The following is a 27,181-nucleotide window of genomic DNA, read 5'->3' as shown; positions in this document are numbered from 1 at the left end:
AGAGAGGTAAGAGAGCAGACCTCTTCATGAGAGGCTGCCTGATAAACTGATTTGACACTGAATTGCTGAGAAGGTAATGCAAATAGTTTTTTTCTCCAAGAACAAAGTAGTTCTTGGTCAAGCCGATTTGATTTGGGCTGTGGGAATCTGCACAAACCATTTCACTAGCTAAGTCTCAGGTTCCTCAAATGAAAAAGCAGGGACTGGAAATGGCTTTTGAAGTCTCATTCTCTTCTAAAAATGTCAGGCTCCAAGACAACCAGGTGAAGTCCAAGAGTTAGTAAAATAAGGATTGTGGCTCGGCTGTGGCCTAATGCAAACTTGCACAACCCCAGGAAACCGAAAAAAACTGGAAGAAGAATTGCAGAATGGGGTGCCAGGTTGAAAGACCTTAACCTTTGCACTCAAATTCCTCCCACACCCAGAAGTCCAGGTCCCGACCGCACGACGCCGTGCTCACTGCTGGGTGCTGCGCCTGAGTCCGCCTCCTGCGGCTTCCCGGACTTGACCCCGCCCACGCCCTGGTCCCGCCTCCTGCCGACGCCGGCACAGACCCCGGTGACGGAAGTGACGTAAGGCCGGGGCTGGAGGGCAGTGCTGGGCTGGTCCCGCAGGCGCTCGGGGTTGGAGCCAGCGACCGTCGGTAGCAGCATGGCTCTCCTCTTTCTCCTACCCCTTGTCATGCAGGGTGTGAGCAGGGCTGAGATGGGCACCGCGGATCTGGGGCCGTCCTCAGGTACCGTCGTTCGCGGCAGGGCTGCGGCCGGGTCGGGACGAGAGGGAGGGAGGGATCCGCCCCAGCCGGGAAGCCCCGCCCCGCTTCTCCGAGGTCGCCCTAGCCCGGGACCCCTGCGTCGGGCCCTGAGCGGGCGACGGGGACGCGAGGTGGGGTCGCGAGACTGGGGCTCCGTGGTTTGAACTCGTCGGTTGCCTTTCTCCTGCCTCTTCCCTGGTTGCCGCCACAACAAATCACGCCGCTTGTTTTTCCGACTCTTGTAATCCACTTTTAAATACGATTATGCGCTGCAGAAGGACGTTGCTGGTCAATGTGGGACAGCGTGGTCTCAAAGATTATAATATCGTCTTCTTACTGTACCTTTTTTTATGGTTAGATACGCAGATACTCACTAGTATGCTACGGTTGCCTGCAGTGTTCAGTGCAGTGACAGGCTGTACAGGTTCATGACCTAAGAGCAGTAGGCTGTGTCATCTGGGTTTGTCTGGGTTTCTACTGCCCGAAGAAATTGCCTAAGGGGACATTTCTCCATTTCTCAGAACGGATCTCCATCGTTAAGTGACGCATGACTGTGAGTGTCCTGATCAGCATGTGGCATCGTGGTCTCAGTTCGTGGCTTAAATACTTCTTTCTTAGCGGGGGTGGGGGGGGGGACTCAAAGTGCTTAGGGTAGGAAAGTATGCATTATGTCGCCAGCTGAGAAGTAAGTGGCAGCTGAGAAGTAAGTGGCAGTCCGTCTTAGGTCTCAGTCTGGAAGTGGTGGATTGCCGGCACTCACTAGCAGATTTGGCAGTAGGTCTCTTCGTACGGGTTTGTTCTTCGGAGCATTTTATTTCCACCTGCTTATTGACATTTCCTAGAAAACAAATGTTGAGGGTGGCTTTTCTGAAGTGCAGAGTAATTGTGATTACGAGCTCCAGAGAAAACAGTAAACCTTTTCAATTCAGTTTTCTTTTTTTTATTATGATTTATGATTCATAGGGACTTTGAAAGGTCCACGTTTTGGTTCTGTGTTCACAACAATCTTCTGGAGTAGGCGTTATTTGTCTCTCTCTTTATGGACGAGAAATTGAGTTACGGAGAGGCCTGCCCAACTGGCAGAGAGGTCATAGCCACTCAGTGGGGAGCTGCTCAATTTGGCTCCAGAGTCCAAGTTCTTAACTGCTCTTCTAGGCTCTAGTCAGTCATCCACATGGGCAGTTGCAGTACTTTGCGGTAAGAGCTTGCACTTAGGCACAGACTAGTGGAAAGCAAGGCGGGGTGCTTGTCTCTTTTAGGGAAGTCAGTGAAGACTTCACAAAGGTGACCCCAGTGTTGGAACCAGAGGTGCAGAGACTGAGGTGCAGAGGTGTGATAGCATGTTGAATTCGTGGAATATTAAGCGTTCTATTGTAAAGTGTGTGTGAGAGCTTACAAGGGGAGGAGATAGGTTAGGTGGAGAAGTAGGAACCAAATAATGAATTGCCATATTATGTGTACCAGCAAGAAACCTAGCTTTATTAACTTAAGCAAAAAGAGGAATTTATTGTCTCAGAAAAACCAGAGTTAAACAGAAAATTATAGATGCCAGCTGGGTCTCAAGAGGCTAGAACCAGGAACCCAAACTGCTAGGACTCTCCATTTCTTATTTCTGTCTGGGTATTGACAGCTTTCCACACTTGGCAGGAATCATGGATGCTGACAGCTTCTGAGTTTTGACATCTTGCAGCCTCCTCCATTCTAACAAAATGCCAGGGAAAGGCTCTGATTTGCCCAGCTAGGTTCAGGTGCCAGCTTGCATGGGAAGGACATTCTCGTAGAGGGTTGGGTTGGGTTACCAGAAGAAGCGGAATGGCGTGCCTGAAGTACAGGTGTTGAGCCAACAAAATAATACACCCACTATGCCTTGCTGAAGTCAGTCATTATTTACTAATGCTGACATCATTGGATTATCAATTACAAAGGGAAATGATTTTATGCAGGATCAGACATGCCATTTAGAAAGACCAGTCATCTTATAAAATAGTTTGAGGGTAAACACAAGGCCCATTAGGAGGCTGCTGCTTAAGTTGGAGTCGATAAGTAGTTTAAGTGGAGAAGAGGACAGTTAGCAGAACATTTAGAAGGAAGAGTTAGTAGGCCTCTGACTGGATGTCAGCAGAGAAAGAGGATAACGCTAGCGCAGGCATAGCGTTAAAGCAAGTGCCAGGCCCTTCCTTCTGAATACGGGGCCCTATGAGTGCACCGTGTGACCCCTGTGAGTGCACAATTTGCACGTCCTTGTAGCTTGCTCTGGGAGGAGGATTGCCTGTCTGCCTCCCGTGGGAAGATCAACTGCAGCCTTCTATATTCTGCAGAAACTTTTGAATTTGTCTCTGTACCTCTCGTTCTAAAACTGGGGTCACTTTTGTGAAGCCTTTCCTGACTCCCCTAGAAGAGACAAGCACCCCGGCCTTGCTTTTCATTAGTTTCAGTGAGCCCTCTTTTTAAAGTGCATTTCTAACACATTTCTCTAGATTTTTCAGTGCATTTCTCTAGATTTTGTTGTGTTCCCTGTTCTTTTAAAGTTAATTTAAAACACAAAATCTCCAAAGTAGGAAGAAACCAACAATGCTCTGGCTCTTGCTTAGCTTCCCAGCCTTATTCTTACTGTTGCTGGGCTTGACTCTATAGTTGAAGTTCATCTTAGATGAGAGGACCTGGTAAGAACAGGGAAGCAGACAAGTGAATATGGTGATATAGTCAGTCTCCAGGAAATCCAGGTGTTTAGGAATGTATTGTGTTACATTCATGGGCTTTCATTAATACTTCTTAAGTGAAAATAAAATCTGTGTGTGCCACTTAATCAGTAGTATTTCACTCTTCATGCACTTTTACACATAAAAGTAGTATATATTTTTAAGTGAATCAGGGTGTGCCACTGGCTTTCTTCATCCAGATGAGTGTCCCACTCTGAGTAATAGCTGAAGAGCTAGGCTGGACTTCACACCAACTGGAAGGCTCTTCACTGACCTTGTACAGTTTATCAGCTATGCTTCCTACTAATTATCTGACTTTAGGATAAAGCTCTGAGTACTGTTTAAATTTTTCACTATTTCTTTGGATTCTATAGTTATTTCAGAGATTCAAAATACACAGGATAATACTTTTTAATTATATTTATTGAATAGGGTATTAAATTTTCTTTTTCATTTTATTCTGATTCATAATTCACACAGACTTTGAAAGGACCATATTTTGGTTCTATCTAAAAGAAAACCTAGGCTGGGGGCAGTGGCTCATGCCTGTAATCCCAGCACATCGGCGGAAGGATCACTGGAGCCCAGAAGTTCAAGACCAGCCTGGGCAACATGGCAAAACCCATCTCTACAAAAAAATACAAAAATTAACCCTGTGTGGTGGCATGTGCCTGTAGTCCTAGCTACTGGGGAGGCTGAGGTAGGAGGATCACTTGAGCCCAGGAGGTCTAGGCTGCAGTGAGCCATGATTGTACCACTGCACTCCAGCTTGGGCAACAGAGCAAGACTCTGTCTCTCGTGTTTGTGTGTGTGTTTGTGTGTGTGTGTGTGTTTGTGTATGAAAACCTAAAGAAAAGTAATAAACAGCTATCTTACAAAATTTGGCAGCATACCAGTAGTGAAGTTGCTTTACAAACCAGATGAGTAATTAATGGTTCAATTTTGATTGAACAAAGAATCAGAATGAGGTTTGAACCAGAATGAAGTGAATTCCTAACAGAAAGGAATTTACTTGTAATTTTCTTATTAAAGGGGTGCCTTTATTTTAGATTATCCTAATGCATAGTAATCAGAATACTAGGTATCTGTTTAGGTCTTGTGTATTTTTAAGAAATTATTCATTTTAATGCATTGTTCAACTTTTGCAGTGGCCATAATATAATTGTGATAATGTAATAAAATCAGGAAACATTACCTGAAGCAGATGCTTTTGAAGTCACCAGAAAATAGTCTTCTCCAATTCCAATTTAAATATGGAGGTAATTTACCCCTTATTTTATTAAACGATCACAAAGATGTTGGAAGCATTTTTCTTAATGAAAACCAACAAAACTTTGCATATTGTCAAGTTACGTAACTTCTCTAAGCCTTTGTTTTCTCATTGGTAAAATATGTATGGTAACATTGTCTCCCTCACGGGATGGATGTGATGAGTATCTGAGGTAATGCATTAAAAAGGTAAGCACACTGTGTGTCTTGTAGTAAATACTTAATATGTTAGGGATTATTCAATAATGTGCATTATTATTTTAACAAATATATCTTTAAATATTAAATTCCCTTAGTCATATGTGAGAAATTGTGTTGGCTTTTAAAAAAACAAACTTAACCAGATCAGTATGAGAAACTTAAAACAGGCTCAGCAGCTAACTCATTCTTCCATCTCTTCCAACAGACAAAAAAGTTTGGTTTTTTAGTAGACTGGAAAGGCCTGCATTGTTTTTTCATTTCCTCAACTGTTTTTCAATTCAGAATGAGTTAGTCCAAAAGAGAATTAGTGTTGAGAAATGACTTCTCTCAGGGACTAGATTGGTCTGGTCCAGTCAGAACTAATGCCAGACCAAACCCAACTAGATGAAATTGGATAAATAGGAGTAAGAATAAAGCCCTGGATTTCAAGTCAGAAAAGTGGCTGAGCAGATATTTATTGGATAAGCCCCAACTTGGTGGTGGTGCGAGGGAAAAATATAGGGGAGGTTAGTTACTTACAAGTTCACTGCAGGCCACTATGTGTTATGCCTGGCTCTTTAAAAAGAAAAATTTCAATTAGAAGATTTCAATGAACACTTGAAACATCACCTGCAAGAATTATCAAAATGTCTGTACTCAGCTTAAACCTGGGGGATGCGGCTCCTTGCTACGGTGAAAGTTGGAAAGCATTAAGAAAAATAGTCATTTTATCACCACTGGAAGCCATTCGGGAGGGAGATTGTAATCAAATATGTTCTGACAAAAATACAAAGGCCTTGATTTGGTACTTTTCATTTATTCAGTGTGGATTTCTTATGCTGGTTCTGTTTGCTGTGCAGATGAAACCTTTGTGACAGTCCCCATTCCTGTCCCTGTATCTTTAACATGGGGAAGGTGTTAGATCTTCTCTGAGAGTTGTTCTTAAGGAAAAGATCCAGATGCTTTAATTTGAAACATTTGTTTTTGAGTTGTAGTGTCAGATGACTTAGAATCCAGAACAACAGTTTACTTCATCCTCACTTCCTTATGCTTCTCAGCGTGCTCTTCCCATGAAGAGGTTGGTGAGCAGGTTGTCAGATGATTTCTGCAGAGTCCATAGCCCTGTTCCACCATAGATGTACAAACCTTTTATACAGTCTTTTTACACTAGTGTGTTAAGATGGGTGATGAACTCCTCGGGCTGTCCTTTTTTAAAGAGACACAGATGCTTTTGGTGGTTACAGGATGGACTCAGGTAGCAGCCCTGGTTCCTGTCACCCAGCTATGCAGAGGAAATGGCCAGTGTCTTCAGACTATACTCTGCAGGTATCTGTAGTTTGCCATCCACCCTACATTCACCAACATTTATTGCAGAGCTATCACGACTGCTATTTTTTGGTCCTTTGTGACATTGTTATGGTCCCGTCGATAGCACTGCTCTGTATCACCTGCTGATCTTCACTGGTCTTTTGTGTTGTCTCTCTTTTTTCATATCCTGTCTCTTCTGGCTTATCAGCTTTCTGAGGAAACAGTTGGCTTTAACCAGGGCCCTCCTTTTTTTTTCTGCATTGTAATTAAAGTGTTAGGAAAAACAAATTCTTCTCTCCTGTGTTTAGTTTTCTTAAATTATCAGCTGTGAGTTGTAGGGGAGTTCTGGGAATTAGATCTTAAAATAGCTAAAGTTTACTCCGGATAGTATGCAGATGTAATACACTAAATAATTCTGAGTCCATTTCCAAAAGCAACATGAGTTACACAAAACTATCTTGGCATTTTCAAGAGATGGGAAAATCTGTAAGATTATCTTATTTCATGAAATCACTCTGGTAAGATCTTTTCTTAAGCCCCAGAGATAATAATACTCTTTTGCTGTTTCTACATATATTTTTATTTACATAGTGTAAATGTATTAGAAGTTAATTGTAAGCCTTAATTAATTTAATCTGAATATATAACAATTTAAACCTCACATTACAAAATTCTGAAGCTTAAGAAAACTGCTTATGTCTGTCATATTATTTTGGCAAATAATATTTGGCAAAAAATAATATTTGGCAAAACAAAGGCAGATGTCTAATAACCACACAGTTTCTCCTCTGGTAGCATTAAAAACCACAGATTACATCTTTTGGTGTAAATTTATAAGTTTTTCTTTTAACCTAGTAGTAATTTCTTTTTGCTATAAACCATTGAAATATTTTCCTCCTACCACCTGTCTGTCTTGCTTTGAAAGCTATGATTTAAGTCCTTGTCCTAGTCTAACCATATCAGGCTTTTACTTAAATTATAGGAAACATACTTTGATTCACGTTAAAAACTAATCTAATGCTGCACAAGCCTACTCCTGTTTGTAGTTTTCCATTGTGTGATTCAGTAGCCCCTTCCTAAGTACAAATGCACTTTGTTTGATATTCTAGTATGCAGATTGACTTCTATATGCCTTTTTCTCACAGGAATTTCAGGTTGAGCGTATACCATTATAAAGCCATTCCTACTGGGTATAATTAAAAAGAGAGCCTTAGGCTGGGCCCGGTGGCTCACACCTGTAATCTCAGCACTTTGGGAGGCCCAGGTGGGCGATTCATGAGGTTGGGAGTTTGAGACCAGCCTGACCAACATGGTGAAACCCCATCTCTACTAAAAATACAAAAATTAGCCATGTCTGGTGGTGCAAACCTGTAATCTCAGCTACTCGGGAGGCTGAGGCAGGAGAATCGTTTGAACCCAGGAGGCAGAGGTTGCAGTGAGCAGAGATCATGCCATTGCACTCCAACCTGGGCAACAGAGCAAGACTCTGTCTCAAAAGGAGGGGAGTGGAGCTTAAAAGGAAGCAAAGGATTTCCAGTCTTGGAAACCTAGAGGAAGGGGGGTCCTTGCTATGTAGTGGCAGAAAGCTGAGTGACACTGTAGCCTTCAGTGACACCAAAAGTAGAGAATGTCTGAGGAGCTGTGTGATCTAGCTCAGGAGGTTTCTAACCAGAGTGCTGAAAGTGCCACCTGGTTTCTTCTTGCGTCTTATAGTAACAGGTGAGACTTTGCTCAATCATGGGAAGAACTGTTAAAAAGAAACCAGGACCACCTGGTTTGAAAATTCTCAGCCTCTCGAGAGGCAAAAAAATGCCAAAATGAAGAAATGGTCTCCGAAGGAAGGCTCAGATTTAGTATGAGTTTTCTTAGCATCAAGTACCTCTGTTTTCCGGTTGAAAAAGTATATTTATATGTGTGATTGTTATTTGATATTAATGTTGATTGAACCCAGGTGAAGAGGAATGACTTTTATTTCTACCTAAAATATGGATTGTGAAGTATTTGAGTTGTTTCAGGAGGTTGAGATGCAAACGTGTGATAGAAAAAAGACCCTCTTAAGGAAGCCTCAGTATCCCCTGCTATGAATGGCCATGGGAACTCTACAAAAAACAAAGAGCCAAGGCTACTCTGGCAAGAACAGTGCCTTAGGGATCACCTACAAGGAAGTTGCTTAGAGAACCAGAGATGGCAGGTACCAAGAGCCTTCAGCTGCGCCTCTGGAAGCAGAAGGAGAAAACCTAGGTGTCTGGTCACTGGCCACAAAAAGGTCAAGTTAGTAGTATGAAGTATTTGAATCTTCAGACCCTCCCCAGCTTGATAATCTCAACCTTTTGGCCCAAATTATTACACCATTTTGGTAAATAATATAGAAGTTAGATCTTTTGGCAATAACCAAATCTATTCATTTGTTTGAGGGGAGCCATGAAATATACAGGTTTACTGTAAAGCATTCTGTTTTTAAGTTAGTTTTTCCTCAACTTTTTTTTTAAAGAACACTTAAATTGTAAACATAAAGCAGGGTTTCTCAACCTTGGCACTGCTGGCATTTGGGGCTATATTATTTTTTGTTGTGGAGGCTGTCTGATGCATTGTAGGATATTTAGCAGCACCCTTGGTCTCTGCCCTCTAGATGCCAGCAGTACCTCCCCCACACACTTCTTCTCCAGGTTGTGAGAGCCAAAAATGTCTACAGACATTGATTGCCTAATGTCTCCTGGCAACAAAATCACTTCCCACAGAGAACCACTGCAATAAAGGAAAAAATAATCAGAAAAGGAAAATAATAATGGTGATAGCATTTAATTGTCCATTAGTGCCTATTATTTACCTAAAAAACTCTTAATCCATGTTCTGCTTTGAAAATATATGTGTTAAATAATTGTAAATTAAGGCAATATACCAGTTTGGTCTTGAATATTGGAATTTTTGTTTGGGGAAAATATAGATTTTCCCTTCAGCAGTAAGCAAATATCTTAGGGATATGAAAGTAACACCTCATGACAGATCAGGAAATCTGAAGTATTTAGCAGTGTGGCCAAGAAAGAACCCAAATTTATTAATGTTTGACCTAGGGAGTATTTTTCTTATTTAAGCAGTCTGCTTGATATAAATATAAATCATCATCATTATCATCCAAGGCACTTTGGAAAAATAGAAACTTCTGTCCCTCTCACAATTTTTGAGGATGATTATAAGTTATGTTTGGAAGCCACTGTTCCTATCCACATGGACATTCATTTATTTGTTTTAGTTATATAAGTAAATCATGTTTAATAGAGTGTTCCAGGGAGGTGAGATTGAATAACCATAAATTTGGGGTCACATCGCTAACTGTGTACATTCATGTTTATCTGTAAAGAAGTGAAGGGAGAAAGGAGAAGTGTGTGTGTTCAGTTTTCCAAGGGGTGTTGGATAACAACCTTTTACACCAAACAGTGGGGAAAAATGACTCCTTTTTTTTTTTTTCTAAGAGAACTGAATGCAGTGGCACAGTCACAGCTCACTGCAGCCTTGACCTCCTGGGCTCAAGCAATCTTCCTCAGCCTCCCGAGTAGCTGAAACTACAGGCACAGGCCTCTTCACCTGGCTAATTTTTTAATTATTTGCGGAGACAGGGTCTCCAACTCCTGAGCTCAACAGATCCTCCCACCTCAGCCTCCCAAAATGCTGGGATTACAGGTGTGGGCCACCGCACCTGGCCCATGACTACTTTTAATAACTAGATTTTGGTAGTGTCTGATTAGATGTTAAAATGACTTCTGTCTGTTCTCTTACGTGACTCAAGTCTTATCAACAGATGTTTTCTGAAAGAGTGAAGGCAAGAAGAAATGTTGGGTATGTTTTGTAAAAAGCCCTGCACACCCCAGAGAGCAGAGTGTTGATGAAACTGGAATGTGTGGCTCCATTGTTCAATCTTTAGGTATCTATTCCTGTACTATAGAAAAAGTGTGGAAGGCATAAATAGTAGTATGTGTAGAGTTGAGAGGTTGATGGTATTTTAGAGTGAAATTGGCCATCCTCATTGTAGCCAGTTCCTCTGTAGACATTTGTATTAGTCTGTTTTCGTGCTGCTGATAAAGACATACCCAAGGCTGGGAAGAAAAAGATGTTTGATTGGACTTACAGTTCCACATGGCTGGGGAGGCCTCAGAATCACAGCAAGGGCGAAAGGCACTTCTTACATGGTGGCGGCAAGAGAAAAATGAGGAAGAAGCAAAAGCAGAAACCCCTGATAAACCCATCAGATCTCGTGAGACTTACTCACTATCACGAGACTAGCATGGGAAAGACCAGCCCCCGTGATTCAATTACTTCCCCCAGGTCCCTCTCATAACACGTGGGAATTCCAAGAGATACAATTCAAGTTGAGATTTCGGTGGGGACACACAACCAAACCATATTATGCTACCCCTGGCCCCTCCAAATCTCATGTCCTTACATTTCAAAACCAATCATGCCTTCCAAACAGTCTCCCAAAGTCTTAACTCATTTCAGCATTAACCCAAAAGTCCACATTCCAAAGTCCCATCTGAGACAAGGCAAGTCCTTTCTGCCTGTGAGCCTGTAAAATCAAAAGCAAGCTAGTTACTTCCTAGATACAGTGTGGGTACAGGTATTGGGTAAATACAGCCATTCCAAATGGGAGAAATTGGCCAAAACAAAGGAGTTATAGAGCCCATGCAAGTCCATAATCCAGTGGGGCAGTCAAATCTTAAAGCTCCGAAATGATCTCCTTTGACTCCAGGTCTCACATCCAGGTCATGCGGATGTAAGAGGTGGCTTCCCATGGTCTTGAGCAGCTCTGCCCCTGTGGCTTTGCAGGGTACAGGCTCCCTCTCAGCTGCTTTCACAGGCTGCCATCAAATGTCTGCAGCTTTTCCAGAAGTTGTCAGCAGATCTACCATTCTGGAGTCTGGAGGATGGTGGCCCTCTTCTCACAGCTCTACCAGGCAGTGCCCCAGTAGGGACTTGTGTGAGGGCTCCGACCTCACATTTTCCTTCCACACTGGCCTAGCAGAGGTTCTCCATGAGGGCCCTGCCCCTGCAGCAAACTTTTGCCTGGGCATCCAGGCATTTCCATACATCTTCTGAAATCTAAGCAGAGGTTCCCAAATCTCAATTCTTGACTTCTGCACACCCATAGGCTCAACACCATGTGGAAGCTGCCAAGGCTTGTGACTTCCACCCTCCGAAGCCACAGCCTGAGCTATATGTTGGCCTCTTTCAGTCACAGCTGGAGCAGCTGGGACGCAAGGCACCAAGTCCCTAGGCTGCACACAGCACGGGGACCCTGGGCCTGGCCACAAAACCACTTTTTCCTCCTAGGCCTCCGGGCCTGTGATGGGAAGCGCTGGCGTGAATGTCTCTGACATGGCCTGGAGACATTTTCTCGATGGCCTTGGGGATTAACATTAGGCTTCTTGCTACTTATGCACATTTCTGCAGCCAGCTTGAATTTCTCCCCAGAAAATGGGTTTTTCTTTTCTGTCTCATAGTCAGGCTGCAAATTTTCCAAACTTTTATGCTCTGCTTCCCTTATAAAACTGAATGCCTTTAACAGCACGCAAGTCACTTCTTGAATGCTATGCCACTTAGTAATTTCTTCCACCAGATACCCTAAATCATCTCTCTCAAGTTCAGAGTTCCACAAATCTCTGGGGCAGGGGCAAAATGCCGCCAGTCTCTTTGCTAAAACATAGCAAGAGTCACCTTTGCTCCAGTTCCCAGCAAGTTCCTCACCTCCACTGAGACCACCTCAGCCTGGATTTTATTGTCCATATTGCTATCAGCATTTTGGGCAAAGCCATTCAACAAGTCTCTTAAGTAAAGTTCCAAACATTTTCCTATTTCTTCTGAGCCCTCCAAACTGTTCCAGTCTCTGCCTGTTACCCTGTTCCAAAGTTGCTTCCACATTTTCTTGTATCTTTTCAGCAATGCCCCACTCTGCTGGTACCAATTTACTGTATTAGTCCTTTTTCATGCTGCTGATAAAGACATGCCCAAGACTGGGAAGAAAAAGATGTTTAATTGAACTTACAGTTCCACATGGTTGGAGAGGCCTCAGAATCATGGCGGGGGAGAAAGGCACTTCTTACATGGTGGCAGCAAGAGAAAATGAGGACGAAGCAAAAAGCAGAAGCCCCAATAAACCCATCATATCTCATGAGACTTATTCACTATCACGAAAATAGCACAGGAAAGACTGGCCCCCATGATTCAATTACCTCTCCCTGGGTCCAAGCCACAACACATGGGAATTCTGGGAGATACAGTTCAAGTTGAGATTTGGGTGGGGACACAGCCAAACCCTATCAACATTGAATACAATCTGTAGTATCAAATATTGAAAATTCTAGTGATGAAATGAGGATTATTAATTCAATAATCAGTGCATTTGATTATAAAACTTCTATCATATTAAGGGAATTTATTGCTTCATGCTGTATTTGTGTTTCCTTTATATTGCAATGATGTTTCCATAATTTAAAACGAATCAGAACTCTTCTATAGATTTTTCAATAAAATTAATTTCTAGATGTCTACTCTTCATTTAAATAATTTTGGTATCCTGGTGAATTCTACTTTTCTTCAAATATACATATCTGGGCAATGTGGCATCTTACAATAAGGCTTTCCAATATTAATGTTAGTTTCTTACAATTGTCCCTTTTACTTTTTTATTTTCTTACAGTGCCTACACCAACTAATGTTACAATTGAATCCTATAACATGAACCCTATCGTATATTGGGAGTACCAGATCATGCCACAGGTCCCTGTTTTTACCGTAGAGGTAAAGAACTATGGGTGAGTGTCACTCTTTTATTTATCCTTTTTATTCCATTTTTGTTTAGGTCCTTGGAAATTCCACAACTGTGTTCTTTCATCAGCCTTCCCACGTGGCAAAACATTCTAAACTGCTTATAGAGGTCCAAAAGTACTAAAGATGCAAATTCTTTGCCAAATATTTCTTGCCTCTTATTTCCTCTTCCTTATCAGTATTGAAATAGAGAAGTATCACTAAACTTCTGAGATTAGCATGACAAATAAAGCTAATAGTTACTATGTCATCTTCCTGTAGTGTATTTTTAGTAGAACAATATAAATTTCAAAAAACTTTTTTGACAACTGTTAGTTTTTTTAATGTGCTTACTTCTATAATTAACATATATAAATGGAATTTAGAGTTGTTTAAAAAAACAGATTTTTAAAAAATTGAATGTGGAATGTGGCTTGCATAGGTCTTACATTTTGAATTGAGCCTCTTTACTGTAACAGAGTTTGTAGTTCTTCTAACTAAAGAGTAAGGGTTTCCTACTTTCTCTGGCGTCTCCATCCTATTCTTAGCTCTGCTCTTTCTACCGCTTTGTGCTGTGAATAAAAAGCAAAGCACAGACAGAAATGGTTTGAGTTTATTTAATAACAATAAAAGTTATCTTCGCATTTTTTTATTCTTTTTAGTGTTAAGAATTCAGAATGGATTGATGCCTGCATCAATATTTCTCATCATTATTGTAATATTTCTGATCATGTTGGTGATCCATCAAATTCTCTTTGGGTCAGAGTTAAAGCCAGGGTTGGACAAAAAGAATCTGCCTATGCAAAGTCAGAAGAATTTGCTGTATGCCGAGATGGTGAGTAGAATGTGTACACATGTAAATTTTAAATTGGAAAATATTTATACATGTCTTCTGTATGTTTGCTTTTATTAGCAGTTGCTGAAAATTATCACAATGCTTAAGAAACACTTGGAGGAATTTAGAGTCAGTACAGGTTGAGCATCCCAAGTCTAGAAACCCAGAATGCTCCAAAATCTGAAACTTTTTGAGCGCCAGCATGGCACTCAAAGGAAATACTCATTGGAGCATTTTGGATGTTCAGATTTAGAATGTTCAACTGGTAAATATAATGTAAATATTCCAGAATCCAGAAAAAAAAACTCAGAAACCGAAAATACTACTGATCTCAAGCGTTTTGGATATGGGATACTCAACCTGTATCCTCCCCTTCTTTCAAGCCCCACAAAATAGGGCTAACAGGTGGCCATCACTTAGCTGCTTCTATGCCATGACATTTCCACTTCATACAATTATGGGTCTGTGCTGCCCAGCGGTCCCCTGCACCACCCTTGCCCTTCCCATCTTTTGTCATTCATTTGTAAGTTATATTCACTAAGGACTTTGGCAGCTAACTCTTATTCTGAATGCCTGGGGAACCTGAATACCACCTTAATACATTAAAAAATTGCAGAGTTCCTTATTCTCTTCAGCCACTGTGATTTTCAGGTCTTCAGTCTTCCAGCATCCCACTCCCATAGTGTACCTGATGTTTGCTGTCACCTCAAACTCTTGAATCTTTAATTCCAGTTCCTGTATTCCAACTATGACATCCTGCCTTAGCTCTCAGACCCTGACTCCTGGGTAAAAGACACCTTTAGTCACTTGACTCCTCCCTAGTCTTCTAGCCCTTGGGTCCCTTTCCCTCTAGCCTCACTTCCTTTCTCTGCTCCTGCCTTTTAGATTGTGCCACCTCGGTCTCTTCTACAGGCTCTTCCTCTCCTTACCCTTTAAATACTTTTCTTCCCCAGAGTCCACAATTTTGTCATATGATTACCACACCATCTGCATGTTAGATTTTTTTCCATATAGATTTATCAAGGGCCTACTACGTGCCGGAAAGTATACTGGGCCCTGAGGATACACTGATGGGTTAAAAACAGACCTGCCTGGCACACAGTGGTACACAGTAATATGTGAAGACTAGATAAATGGTTCACAACAAAGTCTCAAACATCAAAGACCTAATAAATATTTATGGAATAAGTTCTGATTTTTCACAGTAAAAAGAGTTTTGATGAGGGAAGAAAACTAATGCCATTTCTGAAACGTTTTTTAGAATCCAGGCTTCTTAATCCACAGAAGCAAAGATAAAGGAAAAATTACTTAATAGAGTCTATATTATGTGAAGTCTTTTTTTAACCAAAGTTTATAACTATTTTTATTTACAACTAGAAATGAAATTAAACTGCTAAATAGGCATTCAGATTAAATAAGAGTACTTCTTGCCTGAGATTTATGAAACATTTGTTTATTAAGGACCCCGAGACTATCTTCTAGATATTTGTGGAGTGGTTTAAATGTGGTCCTGCTTTAGAACAACCAGAACAAAAACAATAGGTTGATTGATAGATTCTGGTAATTTTATGAAATGTACCATTTAGTTCCAAGGCCAGTATTTATTATACTTCCTCCTCCTCCTTCCCCAGGAAAAATTGGACCACCTAAACTGGATATCAGAAAGGAGGAGAAGCAAATCATGATTGACATATTTCACCCTTCAGTTTTTGTAAATGGAGACGAGCAGGAAGTCGATTATGATCCCGAAACTACCTGTTACATTAGGGTGTACAATGTGTATGTGAGAATGAACGGAAGTGAGGTATGTGTTTCACATTTTTCATAATGGAAATTCTTGTGTAGCTAGCAAAAGTTGTTCCTTTCTGTAGTGTAATGAAAATAGGATGCTTATAAATATTCAAGCAAGACTCACAGATCATAGATTTGATAAGAAAAATATGTGAATGCTATTAAAGCAAAAATGATACAGAGTTAGTCACTAACACTGACCATGTGAATACATTTAGTTTTTATTTGCTTCATTTAGCAGAATGGCTCTAATCTAGGATTTTTCCCAGTACACCTCCATTGCTCCACTGGTAAAATGAGGATTTTCTTCCTCATTGGCGGTGACGTAAAGTAATATTAATACTTCTGTTTCCCACCAGCTAAATTTCTGGACAAATGAATAGGACAAATGAACATTTGTTAGTTTAACAACTAACAATAAACATTCCTGCAATTTGAGTTTTTAAATTTACCATTTTTATAAGGAATATAACAGATGCATAGTATCGTGCTGTGTTGAAGTAACAAATTGACTTATTGATAGTAAAGCTATTTTTAGACATGTTCAAGTCAATCATATATATTTCTTCAGTTGTTTGACCAGGACTAATATGGTGATTTTTTTTTTTTTTCAGATTAAAAGAAGCTGTGCATTTTCACTGTTTTCTTTTTTCATCTAGATCCAGTATAAAATACTCACGCAGAAGGAAGATGATTGTGACGAGATTCAGTGCCAGTTAGCGATTCCAGTATCCTCACTGAATTCTCAGTACTGTGTTTCAGCAGAAGGAGTCTTACATGTGTGGGGTGTTACAACTGAAAAGTCAAAAGAAGTTTGTATTACCATTTTCAATAGCAGTATAAAAGGTAAGTTCTTGCCATTTTTTTTCTAAATATAGAGGGAGCAGTAACTAAAATAGGATCATGTGAGGAAAGCAAACTCATTTGCAGTTTCAAAAGATCTGTTTTAACAATATTCATTTGCATTAGTTCCATTCCTTAGAGAAGTTCAAAATTAAAAATAAAGCAGTTTCTCACACATTTAAAGATATAGAACAACTAATTTGGAAAGCCATGTGATGGCCCCTTGACCCAGGAAAGAAAAAATATATAATAAGTACATAAAACTACACAAATGTTTGCATTTCAGGATTATGAATTATAAGTCAGTTTGTTACTTCACCATAGCAAGATGTTGTGAATCCACTAAAATGTTCTTTATGGGGATTGTAATTTAAAGACTGAAGAGCAGGAACGATCACTGGTTACAACTGTATGACGTGGACTGGACAAAGACTCGAGATTAATATCCAAAAAAGTTTATAGATGGGTTTGAATAATAGATAATGGGTCATTTTTATAACATTTTACAATAATTAATTTTATTTCATCTTTTAATGTGGGGGGTGGGGAGGTAGAGATATATATGCTAGAACTTGAACTTTAGAACTGTTACTCTCAGGTGTCAGGAACCTTAAAGAAGTTTGGACTTTTCTTTGCAGTTAGGAAATGTAAGTGTTCATTATAGATAATTTATAAAATATGAAAAACCAGAAGAAAACAAAATAATCTGTAGTTCTACCATGCAAAAATACCCCATTATTCACAGTTTGATATTTTCTTTAGTTTTTCTACATAGACATGATCATATTGTATAGTATATATGATTTTGTGTATTGCTTTAAGCATATATTGTAACTCATGCTTTGATGATTATCTTTGTGTGTGTGTGTGTGTGTGTGTGTGTGTGTGTGTGTGTGTGTATACATATATTTTTTTCCTTAGGATTTTTTTAGAATAGATTTCATAGGTTTAAAATTTTATGATGCAAGTATATTTTCGAGGAATGGAAATATAGGCTGAAGAGCCAGAACAAACACCTAAAATTCAATACTAATAACTTCAAGCCATTATATGAAGGTTTCAAATAGGTGATTTAAAGCAGTGCAATGCATTTTATGCTAATTTTCGTTATGCTATTTGAAAAATAAAACCCTTCTTAATGCTCAAAATTTGAAATAATGCAAATGCCGCAGATTTGTTTTTAGCCTGAATTATACACTGCACTGATAGTATGGCCACACGGTGGCATTGCCGTGGCTCCTGAGCAGCAGCCCTGCCTGCTTGCCTCAATGCCTTGCAGCCAGCACTTGCTCAGCCCGTGGGACTTCTAACAGCACTAATGTTGGTTTTGTAGTTATTTTCCTTTTTACTTTTGTAATGATTTAACTTTTTTCACACCCTGTAATAAGCGTAATAGAAGCATTCATTAGTAACTTCCATAGTTAGAAAATTCTGGGTAACAAAATGCCCTAAAGGATGCCGGACATTGTCACAGTATGTTAGAGTGCTGTTAATTTGGAAGAGAGAACTATGAAAAAAAAAAAATACTGAAGATTGTGCTGCAAAAATAAAAGGCAGCATTACAGCAAAGTACACAATGGTGATTCTAGATGTATGTGCTTGGAAACAAATCTTTCCTATTTTATATTATTTATGTCTGGTTTATAACTAAGGGGACTTTATTCCTGTGCAGCATTGCTGTGTGCATGTACATCTGTGAAGCTTTATAAGTATTTGCAGTCGTGAAATAAATGTAACAGGAAATTCTGAGGAGTGGGGCTAAATCATCTTAAGAGCAATAAACATTGCCAGAATTTCTTTCTTTTTTTTTTTGTTGTTTTGTTTTGTTTTGAAATGGAGTCTCGCTCTGTCACCAGGCTGGAGTCCAGTGGCACAATCTCAGCTCACTGCTACCTCCACTTCCCAGGTCCAAGCGATTCTCCTGCCTCAGCCTCCCACGTAGCTGGGACTACAGGCGCATGCCACCACACCCAGCTAATTTTTGTATTTTTAGTAGAGATGGGGTTTCACCATGTTGGCCAAGATTGTCTCGATCTCTTGACCTCGTGATCCGCCCACCTCGACTTCCCAAAGTGCTGGGATTACAGGCTTGAGCCACTGTGCCCAGCTGCCAGAATTTGTTTCTAAGGAGAGGTATTTTTAAAATTATTCTTTTGCATTTTTAACCGAAAGAAATGCATAACCCTGGAAACACACTGTATGTAGGGCTGTAAGGAAATTATTGTAGAAAAGCTATTTTAACTATGTTGTGTCATAGTAGAATAGTCCCAGAAAGTTCTAGAATTGCAGAGCTGGGAAGAACCATATTGCTATCTAAGACAGATACCTAATTTTTTACTCAGATTTCCTAACTTCTGCTTCCTTCAGTGTTCTTTAAAACTCTGGCCCTATTCACTAATTTGTAAATCTATTCAAGAATGGCACTAAGACTTTTTGATAGATAATAGCAGTATTCCATCTTAATTGTAACTTGTGATTTCTGCCTTTTTTAAGGTTCTCTTTGGATTCCAGTTGTTGCTGCTTTACTACTCTTTCTAGTGCTTAGCCTGGTATTCATCTGTTTTTATATTAAGAAAATTAATCCATTGAAGGAAAAAAGCATAATATTACCCAAGTCCTTGGTAATGTATTTAATTTTTTTATATACACTAAAAAGTTAACTTGAACCTTTTTTGATAGTTTCTTAAATTATGTTTTTAAAGTAGAATGATATTCAACAAGATGTCACCTGCCATCAATCAGTCAGTCTACCACACATGCAAAATCACATACTGTGTCTTTTGCTGTGCAGCAAGTATTTTGTTTTTTTTTTTATTCTCAGGGAAAAACACGGTGAGACAATTCTGTTAAAGATCTTAAAGTCTAGGGGGAAGAAAAGATAAATATACATTGGCTATATAACGTGTGATAGATTCAAAGATTTATACCTGAGCCCATGAGGACTTTGTCCAGCTTTGGGGTGGGGTTAGTCATGGCTTTTCCAGAGGCAATGCCTGAGCAGTCTTGAGGGACATACAGGAGTTTAGGCACTAGGGGACAGAATGTGCTGAGGTCCAGAGCCAAGAAAGCATGACTTTGAAAGCTCTGCAAATACAGAAACACTTCATTATGGTTGGAGTATGAAAGGAAAGTTGGCCAAAAATGAGACTAACGTAGGAGTTTGACGATTTTAATGTCCAACATTTCAAAGCCTTTGATGTAAAGAACATTTAAAGGTAACAGAATAGTATCTATTTGAGTCAAATATGACAGGAATAATATCTGTGATGCTCAAAGGGCACATTAAAATTTGCTATAAACTACCTTTAAAGTGGATAAGAACTCTCAACAGTTAGTAGTCAACTCACAAATGAATTATAATATTTTATTCTTACTAGTAATTAAGCACAAAGTAACCTTGCAGTATGCCATTTTACACGCGCTAGAGAAGAAAAAAGAAACCTGGATATCCAGTAGTACCAGCAGTAGCATAACGGGTAAATGCTGGTGAAAAGTAATCTAGCCCTGGTAAGAATAAAAGCACACAGTGGGTATTCAGTGTAATAGTGACGTAAACATACCATTTCTTTGATATGGTCACTCCACTCTTAAAAAATGTATTATAAGGAAATAATTTCATAAATAAAAAGATGTACAGGATATTTAACATGTTCCATAGCTAGTAAAAATTGGAAACATTTCCCCATCTATTAAATTATTTATCAGTATAAAGAAATAATATGAGCTACTAAAAATTATAATGATGAAGGCAAGTAATGAGAATATTACTTAAGTAGATGTGCCCACTTTGTAAACATAATGTGCGTACATGTGGAAGATAATTGTATTAGGATTCTCTAGAGGGACAGAACTAATGGAATATATATATAAAGATATATATATAATACCAAATAAACTCCCCTTTATATAAATCTATATTTTATATATTATATATTATATATATTTTATATGTTATATAATATATATTATATATTATATATAATATATTATAAATTATATATTTTATATAATATATTATAAATTATATATTTTATATAATATAAGTTATATATTTTATATATTATATTATAAATTATATGTTTATATAATATATTATAAATTATATATTTTATGTAATATAAATTATATTTTATATAATATATTATAAATTATAAATTATATATTATATATTATAAATTATATATTATATAATATATATTAATTATATTTTTCATATATATATATATAAAGGGGAGTTTATTTAGTATTATTTAGTATTAACTCACACGATCAGAGGTCCCACAATAGGCCATCTGCAGGCTGAGGAGCAAGGAGAGCCAGTCCAAGCTCCAAACTTGAAGAATTCAGAGTCCGATGTTCAAGGGCAGGAAGCATTCAGCATGGGAGAAAGATGTAGGCTGGGAGGCTAGGCCAGTCTCTCTTTTCACATTTTTCTGCCTGCTTACATTCTAGCCATGCTGGCAGCTGATTAGATTGTGCCCATTCGGGTTAAGGGCGGGTCTTCCTTTCCCAGCCCACTGACTCAAATGTTAATCTCCTTTGGCAGCACCCTCACAGACACACCCAGGATCAATACTTTGTATCCTTCAGTCCAATCAAGTTGACACTCAGTATTAACCATCACAGTAACGTACAAAAAGCAACATATATTAGTAAGATATCTGATGGCTTTTTAAAAATTCTAAAACTTTGTTTTTAATATTACTATGGGACCTTTCATTAAAAAGAAATGGCAACATCTGATTCACCCATTATCCTAAATGTGCCATTTGGTGGTCCATTACTTCAGACCTTTGTTTTTTTTGAGGGTAGGCACTTAAGCTTAACAATTTTTTATCTTTAATCAATTTTTCTCCCCATAGATCTCTGTGGTAAGAAGTGCTACTTTAGAGACAAAACCTGAATCAAAATATGTATCACTCATCACGTCATACCAGCCATTTTCCTTAGAAAAGGAGGTGGTCTGTGAAGAGCCGTTGTCTCCAGCAACAGTTCCAGGCATGCATACCGAAGACAATCCAGGAAAAGTGGAACATACAGAAGAACTTTCTAGTATAACAGAAGTGGTGACTACTGAAGAAAATATTCCTGACGTGGTCCCGGGCAGCCATCTGACTCCAATAGAGAGAGAGAGTTCTTCACCTTTAAGTAGTAACCAGTCTGAACCTGGCAGCATCGCTTTAAACTCGTATCACTCCAGAAATTGTTCTGAGAGTGATCACTCCAGAAATGGTTTTGATACTGATTCCAGCTGTCTGGAATCACATAGCTCCTTATCTGACTCAGAATTTCCCCCAAATAATAAAGGTGAAATAAAAACAGAAGGACAAGAGCTCATAACCGTAATAAAAGCCCCCACCTCCTTTGGTTATGATAAACCACATGTGCTAGTGGATCTACTTGTGGATGATAGCGGTAAAGAGTCCTTGATTGGTTATAGACCAACAGAAGATTCCAAAGAATTTTCATGAGATCAGCTAAGTTGCACCAACTTTGAAGTCTGATTTTCCTGGACAGTTTTCTGCTTTAATTTCATGAAAAGATTATGATCTCAGAAATTGTATCTTAGTTGGTATCAACCAAATGGAGTGACTTAGTGTACATGAAAGCGTAAAGAGGATGTGTGGCATTTTCACTTTTGGCTTGTAAAGTACAGACTTTTTTTTTTTTTTAAACAAAAAAAGCATTGTAACTTATGAACCTTTACATCCAGATAGGTTACCAGTAACGGAACAGTATCCAGTACTCCTGGTTCCTAGGTGAGCAGGTGATGCCCCAGGGACCTTTGTAGCCACTTCACTTTTTTTCTTTTCTCTGCCTTGGTATAGCATATGTTTTTGTAAGTTTATGCATACAGTAATTTTAAGTAATTTCAGAAGAAATTCTGCAAGCTTTTCAAAATTGGACTTAAAATCTAATTCAAACTAATAGAATTAATGGAATATGTAAATAGAAACGTGTATATTTTTTATGAAACATTACAGTTAGAGATTTTTAAATAAAGAATTTTAAAACTCGTTTTTGTATTCATTTATTCAAGCACTTAGGCAGTCTTTCATAGTTAAGCAGAATATTTTTATATCCACTGCTTGTTTCCATGCATTAATGCTATAGGATTATTTGCTAATTGTTCATATTTAATATTTAAAACAACCCTAAAAATAATATTTTTAAATGGTCCTTATAGGTCTATATTTCAGTGCTTAACACCCAGTGTGCAGAACACTGTTCTAAGTGGTTTGAGAAGAAAAGATTTAGCTGTAGAGCATGTGGATTGAGGAATCTAGCATAAAGGTGGTGGGCAGAGCCATGGAAATGGATGGAACCTTGAGAATTACATGGTGTGGAAAGAATCCCCAGTGAGAGGCAAACCAAGAGTTAATATATATGTTACCCAAGGATTTCTTGGAATTACTAAGAGGATAGAAATATTCAGAAATTAATATGAATCTGTGAATTAATGGACCAAAAAAAATGAAATACAATTTACATGAGTAGCAAATCACATTTCTTTGGTTTCTGGAAAGATATTTCTCTTCACTTAAAAATGCAAATTACAAATGAGATACTATCAGTGAAAAAAGTAGTGGTGTGGTTTGCAGTGGAACTGGTATAGTCACTGATTTTAGGGTAATGTCTTGTAAATTGCTTTTCAAACTGATACCCCATACATATCACATTCCACAAAAGTAATATCCTTCAACAGACTTTGATCTCTCTTGTGGGAAAATTACAAAAAAAAAAAAAAAACTACATGAACAATGCACACATTAGAATGGGAAAAGCAAAAATATGAAAATAATTGAAATAGCCAAGGAAGAGGTAATACTTACTACCCTCCAAAATGATTATACCAATGTGTACTCCCATCAAATGTGAATGAAGTACCTGTTTTTACACCCTAGCTAATTGACTGAAATAAGTCTTTAATCTCGGTAAAACACTTTACACATTAAATGCATTTGCATTTCTTTAGTAAATTTGAGCATGTTTTTATATCTTATTTATAGTTTCATGCCAACTCATCTTGTTCTTTGTCCATTTTTTTATGGGCTGTTTATATCTTTCTTACTACCCTTTATCTGCCCTGAGTTACAGATTTATTTTATAATTTCCTGCCTTTTGACTTACCACACAGATGTTTAAGTTGTTTATAAAGTCAAATTTATTTATTTCCTTCTATTTTTAAAAAGCCCTTCCCCTTTCCCCAAAAGATAGAAGTTTTCACTCATGTTTTCTTCTGGTCTTTGGTGATGATTGTTTTACATTTAATTCTTCTATCCATCTAGATTTTTTTCCTTTGAGGACAGAGATAGAGATCCAGCTTTATTTTTTTGTTTTAGTTTCCTGTGGCTGCCGTAATAAATTACCACAAACTTGGGTGGCTTAAAACAACAGAAATTTGTTATCTCACAGTTCAGAGGCTAGAGGTCTGAAATCAAGGTTTCAATAGGGCCAGATTCTATCTGAAAGCTCTAGGGGTGGAGGGCCCCTTCCTAGTTTCTAGTGATTGTTGTCAATCCTTGATATTCTCTGACTTATGGCTGCATTATTCCAATTTCTGCCTCTTGTCACCTGGCATTCTTCTCTGTATGTCTGTGTCCAGATCTTTATAAGGACACCAGTCAATTGGATTGATTAGTCCCACTCTAATCCAGTATGACCTCCTCTTAACTTGATTACATCTGTAAAGACACTTTCCAGTTAAGATCACATTCATAGGTACCAGGGGTTAGGACTTCAACACATCTTTTTGAGGATACAACTCAACTCATATATTTCCCTTAACAAATTAGTTATCCCAAATACTATTCATTAAATTATCTAACTTTTCTATGCTGATTTCAAATGTCACATTTATCACATGCCAAATTCTCAGCACTCCTGGAACAGTTTTGTTGTTCAGTCTTTTCCCGTCTATGTATCACACTTTTAATACACATTATACTGGGATATATTTTATGTTTTTTTGAGACAGAGTCTAGCTTTGTCACCCAGGCTGGAGTGCGGTGGCACGAACATGGCTTACTGCAGCCTCAACCTCTTGTAATCAAGCAACACTCCTGCCTCAGCCCCCCAAGTAGCTAGTACAGACGCTCATGACCATACCTGGCTAATGTTCTGTATTTTTTTGTAGAGACAGGGTTTTGCCATGTTGCTCAGGCTGGCTTCAAATGCCTGTGCTCAAGCAATCTGCCTACCTCAACCTCCCAAAGTGCTGCAATTACAGGCTGTTTTGACTTCTGAGGCTTTCCTGAATACTTTCAGCCAATGTTCATTGCTCATATTTCTTAGCAATAATTATTTATTTATTTACTTACTGTATTTTTAGTAGAGACAGGGTTTCACCATGTTAGCCAGGATGGTCTCGATCTCCTGACCTCATGATCTGCCTGCCTCGGCCTCCCAAAGTGCTGGGATTACAGGTGTGAGACACTGCGCCCTGCCAGCAATAATTATTTTTTAGGTGAACTATAACCTAAATTTTTTGGCCAAGTTTTCCCCCAAATTTTAAACTCCTTTGGGATTTATGTTGGCATTGTTTTGACTTTATAAAATGTTTAGAAATAACTAATATTTTCAAGGGTTGAATGTTCTGCAAGAATGGAGACTATTTCTGTCTTCAAGTCTTACATCCCTCATTAGAGGTTTACTTCATACAGGTGTAGAAAATTTACTAAGTGTATTCCTTGATATTTTATGTTTTTTGTTGCCTATGGGAATGTCATCTTGCATTGTGGCTCCTGAATGGCTGTCTATATGTACACGCACACACAAACTATTGTTACAAGTTGTTTTTGTATCTAGCCAACATCTAAACTGTTTTTTCTTCATGGTTTTTAGTTGATTGGTTTTCCCAGTGTACAAACGTGTTGTCTATAAATAAGAGTAATCCTGCCTTCTCATCACCAATATTATATTTTGTTTTTTATTCCCTTGTCCTCAAACTTTGATGAATTGGTATACGCTATTTTCCAAGAGTGATTGACCAAACCTGGTGGCTGTGGGCAAATCGCTTAGCCTCATGAGAGGGTTGGATTACATTCTCTCTATCTTTTGGCTCTTAAGAGTCATTGCTTCCATTTGTGTTAATTAGTAAGAGCATTGGCTGGGTGCGGTGGCTCATGCCTGTAATCCCAGCACTTTGGGAGGCCGAGGCAGGCGGATCACAAGGTCAAGAGATTGAGACCATCCTGGCCAACATGGTGAAACCCCGTCTCTACTAAAAACACAAGAATTAGCCATGCGTGATGGTGCATACCTGTAGTCCCAGCTACTGAGGAGGCTGAGGCAGGAATCGCTTGAATCCAGGAGGCAGAGGTTGCAGAGAGCTGAGATCACGCCACTGCACTCCAGCCTAGTGACAGAGCAAGGCTTCGTCTCAAAAAAAAAAAAAAAAAATTAAAGCATCATCTTTCCAACACAGTTTTGTGTCTAAACTTAATTTTTTTTCCCCTACTTATTTCTGGTTACCAGAAATTCACGTTATTGAACCATTATTCATGCCAAGTTAAATTGTCTTAAGATTACTGCCTGGGTCCAATTTAAGGTACCACTTCTTATGCCTGATAAGGATATAAGTGGATGACTTAGAAAATAAGTGCCAGCTTTGTTTGTATAGTCATTAGTTAGCTTCATTTATGAGATGCAATACTTACTCTACCTTCCACCGCCCTGCAAATAATAACTGGTCTCTCCATTGGTACTGTTACAGGGCTTTAAGGCTTAACCACGTACCCCAAGCTCTCTTTGCTCCAGTATCTCCTCTGCCCAGGAGATAAGTGTCAGATATTTAATTGAGAGGAAAGAGTGGCAGAGATATGTTCTGACTAGCACATTCCCAGAGTGTCCTTTCTAGAGCTAATTATAAAATGTTATAATACCCACAATGTATCTCCAAAATTAAATATTGAGCAGATATCTACCAATAAAAGGTGAGTAGTAGAGAACACTCACACATTGGCTTCTCAGACAGCCTTTTTAAGGAAAATTCGTGGAGCTGAACAACACAGGTATGTAGTCAGACTGGATGTCAGACCCCAGCCCTTGGGCTATGGGACATTTTTGCTACATAACCAGAGATGTGCCAGTCCCTTTCCTGGTATAAAAAGAGGTGAGGGCCAAAGGGGTCAGTAGGTACTTCACTCAATTCGAGGGGCCTCTGATCCATCTGAGGTGAGGCCACTTTTATTTCACTTCTGACACCATCTTGTGAACCTAAATAACAGCAAGAGTCTCTCTAAAAGAAAATAATATTTGAGAATGGGTCTTGCAATGAGAAAATAGTAAACTGCCTGTGTATTCAGGGAGATAAAGGAAGACAAAAGTTTTTAAAAGAAAAATGAAGATGACCTAATTGTATTGAGATAATTAACCTTTACTATGTAAGCCAAAAATAAAATTGTAAGCCCTCCCCACCTCAAACCATCTAAACGGACGCCCCCTCTTGGCCAAGCGCATTGTAAAGTTAACCTGAAAAACTAGTTCAGGCCATGATGGGAAGGGAGAGTTGGATATAACTCAGTATACCCTCCTCCCTTTTGGAACTTAGGAAAAGCTGACCAGCATTAAACTTACGTCTGATAAGAAACATTTTCAATCTATTCTCTCTGAAATCTGCTACCTGGAGGCTTCATCTGCCTGATAAACTTTGGTCTCTACAACCCCTTATCATCATAACCCAGGTATTTCTATTGATTCTGG

The 27,181-nt window shown here is 38.8% G+C and overlaps 1 protein-coding gene across 7 annotated transcripts, besides 8 other annotated features; it reads left to right on the top strand.

Annotated features, from left to right (window-relative positions):
• Positions 124 to 373: an enhancer, noted in NCBI's record as "active region_25136". NCBI's record gives its function as "activates an Ori minimal core promoter by ATAC-STARR-seq in GM12878 lymphoblastoid cells {active_cell/tissue: GM12878}" and the evidence as "EXISTENCE:reporter gene assay evidence [ECO:0000049][PMID:35858748]".
• Positions 124 to 954: a biological region, named in NCBI's record as "H3K27ac hESC enhancer GRCh37_chr6:137540162-137540892".
• Positions 224 to 954: an enhancer, noted in NCBI's record as "H3K27ac hESC enhancer chr6:137540162-137540892 (GRCh37/hg19 assembly coordinates)". NCBI's record gives its function as "activates a minimal SCP1, AML or CMV promoter by ChIP-STARR-seq in primed H9 embryonic stem cells {active_cell/tissue: H9 hESC(primed)}" and the evidence as "EXISTENCE:reporter gene assay evidence [ECO:0000049][PMID:30033119]".
• Positions 414 to 643: a silencer, noted in NCBI's record as "silent region_17582". NCBI's record gives its function as "represses an Ori minimal core promoter by ATAC-STARR-seq in GM12878 lymphoblastoid cells {active_cell/tissue: GM12878}" and the evidence as "EXISTENCE:reporter gene assay evidence [ECO:0000049][PMID:35858748]".
• On the top strand, positions 594 to 22,495 carry IFNGR1 (interferon gamma receptor 1). Of its 7 annotated transcripts, none has more exons than XM_011535793.3 (8): positions 594 to 736; positions 4,602 to 4,712; positions 12,902 to 13,016; positions 13,671 to 13,843; positions 15,475 to 15,647; positions 16,294 to 16,480; positions 18,971 to 19,098; positions 21,340 to 22,495. In XM_011535793.3, exons 2-8 carry the CDS (start codon positions 4,658 to 4,660, stop codon positions 21,946 to 21,948), a joined length of 1,440 nt encoding a protein of 479 aa, XP_011534095.1. In that variant the 5' UTR covers positions 594 to 736; positions 4,602 to 4,657; the 3' UTR covers positions 21,949 to 22,495. The 7 variants fall into 7 exon arrangements, with proteins under 7 accessions (XP_011534095.1, NP_000407.1, NP_001350455.1 ...); NM_001363526.1 differs by lacking the exon at positions 594 to 736 and adding an exon at positions 783 to 995; XM_006715470.4 differs by lacking the exon at positions 594 to 736 and adding an exon at positions 783 to 1,307.
• Positions 684 to 903: a silencer, noted in NCBI's record as "silent region_17581". NCBI's record gives its function as "represses an Ori minimal core promoter by ATAC-STARR-seq in GM12878 lymphoblastoid cells {active_cell/tissue: GM12878}" and the evidence as "EXISTENCE:reporter gene assay evidence [ECO:0000049][PMID:35858748]".
• Positions 1,364 to 1,413: a silencer, noted in NCBI's record as "silent region_17580". NCBI's record gives its function as "represses an Ori minimal core promoter by ATAC-STARR-seq in GM12878 lymphoblastoid cells {active_cell/tissue: GM12878}" and the evidence as "EXISTENCE:reporter gene assay evidence [ECO:0000049][PMID:35858748]".
• Positions 2,395 to 2,454: an enhancer, noted in NCBI's record as "active region_25135". NCBI's record gives its function as "activates an Ori minimal core promoter by ATAC-STARR-seq in GM12878 lymphoblastoid cells {active_cell/tissue: GM12878}" and the evidence as "EXISTENCE:reporter gene assay evidence [ECO:0000049][PMID:35858748]".
• Positions 12,459 to 12,628: an enhancer, noted in NCBI's record as "experimental_90375 CRE fragment used in MPRA reporter constructs". NCBI's record gives its function as "activates a minimal promoter by MPRAs in K562 erythroleukemia cells, with activity observed for both the introgressed and non-introgressed 6:137528573 variant alleles {active_cell/tissue: K562}" and the evidence as "EXISTENCE:reporter gene assay evidence [ECO:0000049][PMID:34662402]".

This window comes from Homo sapiens, chromosome 6, assembly GCF_000001405.40.
Source record: "Homo sapiens chromosome 6, GRCh38.p14 Primary Assembly".
Taxonomy (NCBI): domain Eukaryota; kingdom Metazoa; phylum Chordata; class Mammalia; order Primates; family Hominidae; genus Homo; species Homo sapiens.
Note: the sequence above shows the minus strand (reverse complement) of the source record. Positions and strands in the feature narration are given on the sequence as shown.

What these genes read in the sequence shown, in the direction of transcription:
- IFNGR1 (NM_000416.3), top strand. Translation starts at nt 652, where the DNA reads ATGGCTCTCCTCTTTCTCCTACCCCTTGTCATGCAGGGTGTGAGCAGG. An exon ending in TGAGAATGAACGGAAGTGAG is followed by an intron (nt 15,648 to 16,293) that starts GTATGTGTTTCA and finishes TTTTTCATCTAG; the next exon opens with ATCCAGTATAAAATACTCAC. An exon ending in TAATATTACCCAAGTCCTTG is followed by an intron (nt 19,099 to 21,339) that starts GTAATGTATTTA and finishes TTCTCCCCATAG; the next exon opens with ATCTCTGTGGTAAGAAGTGC.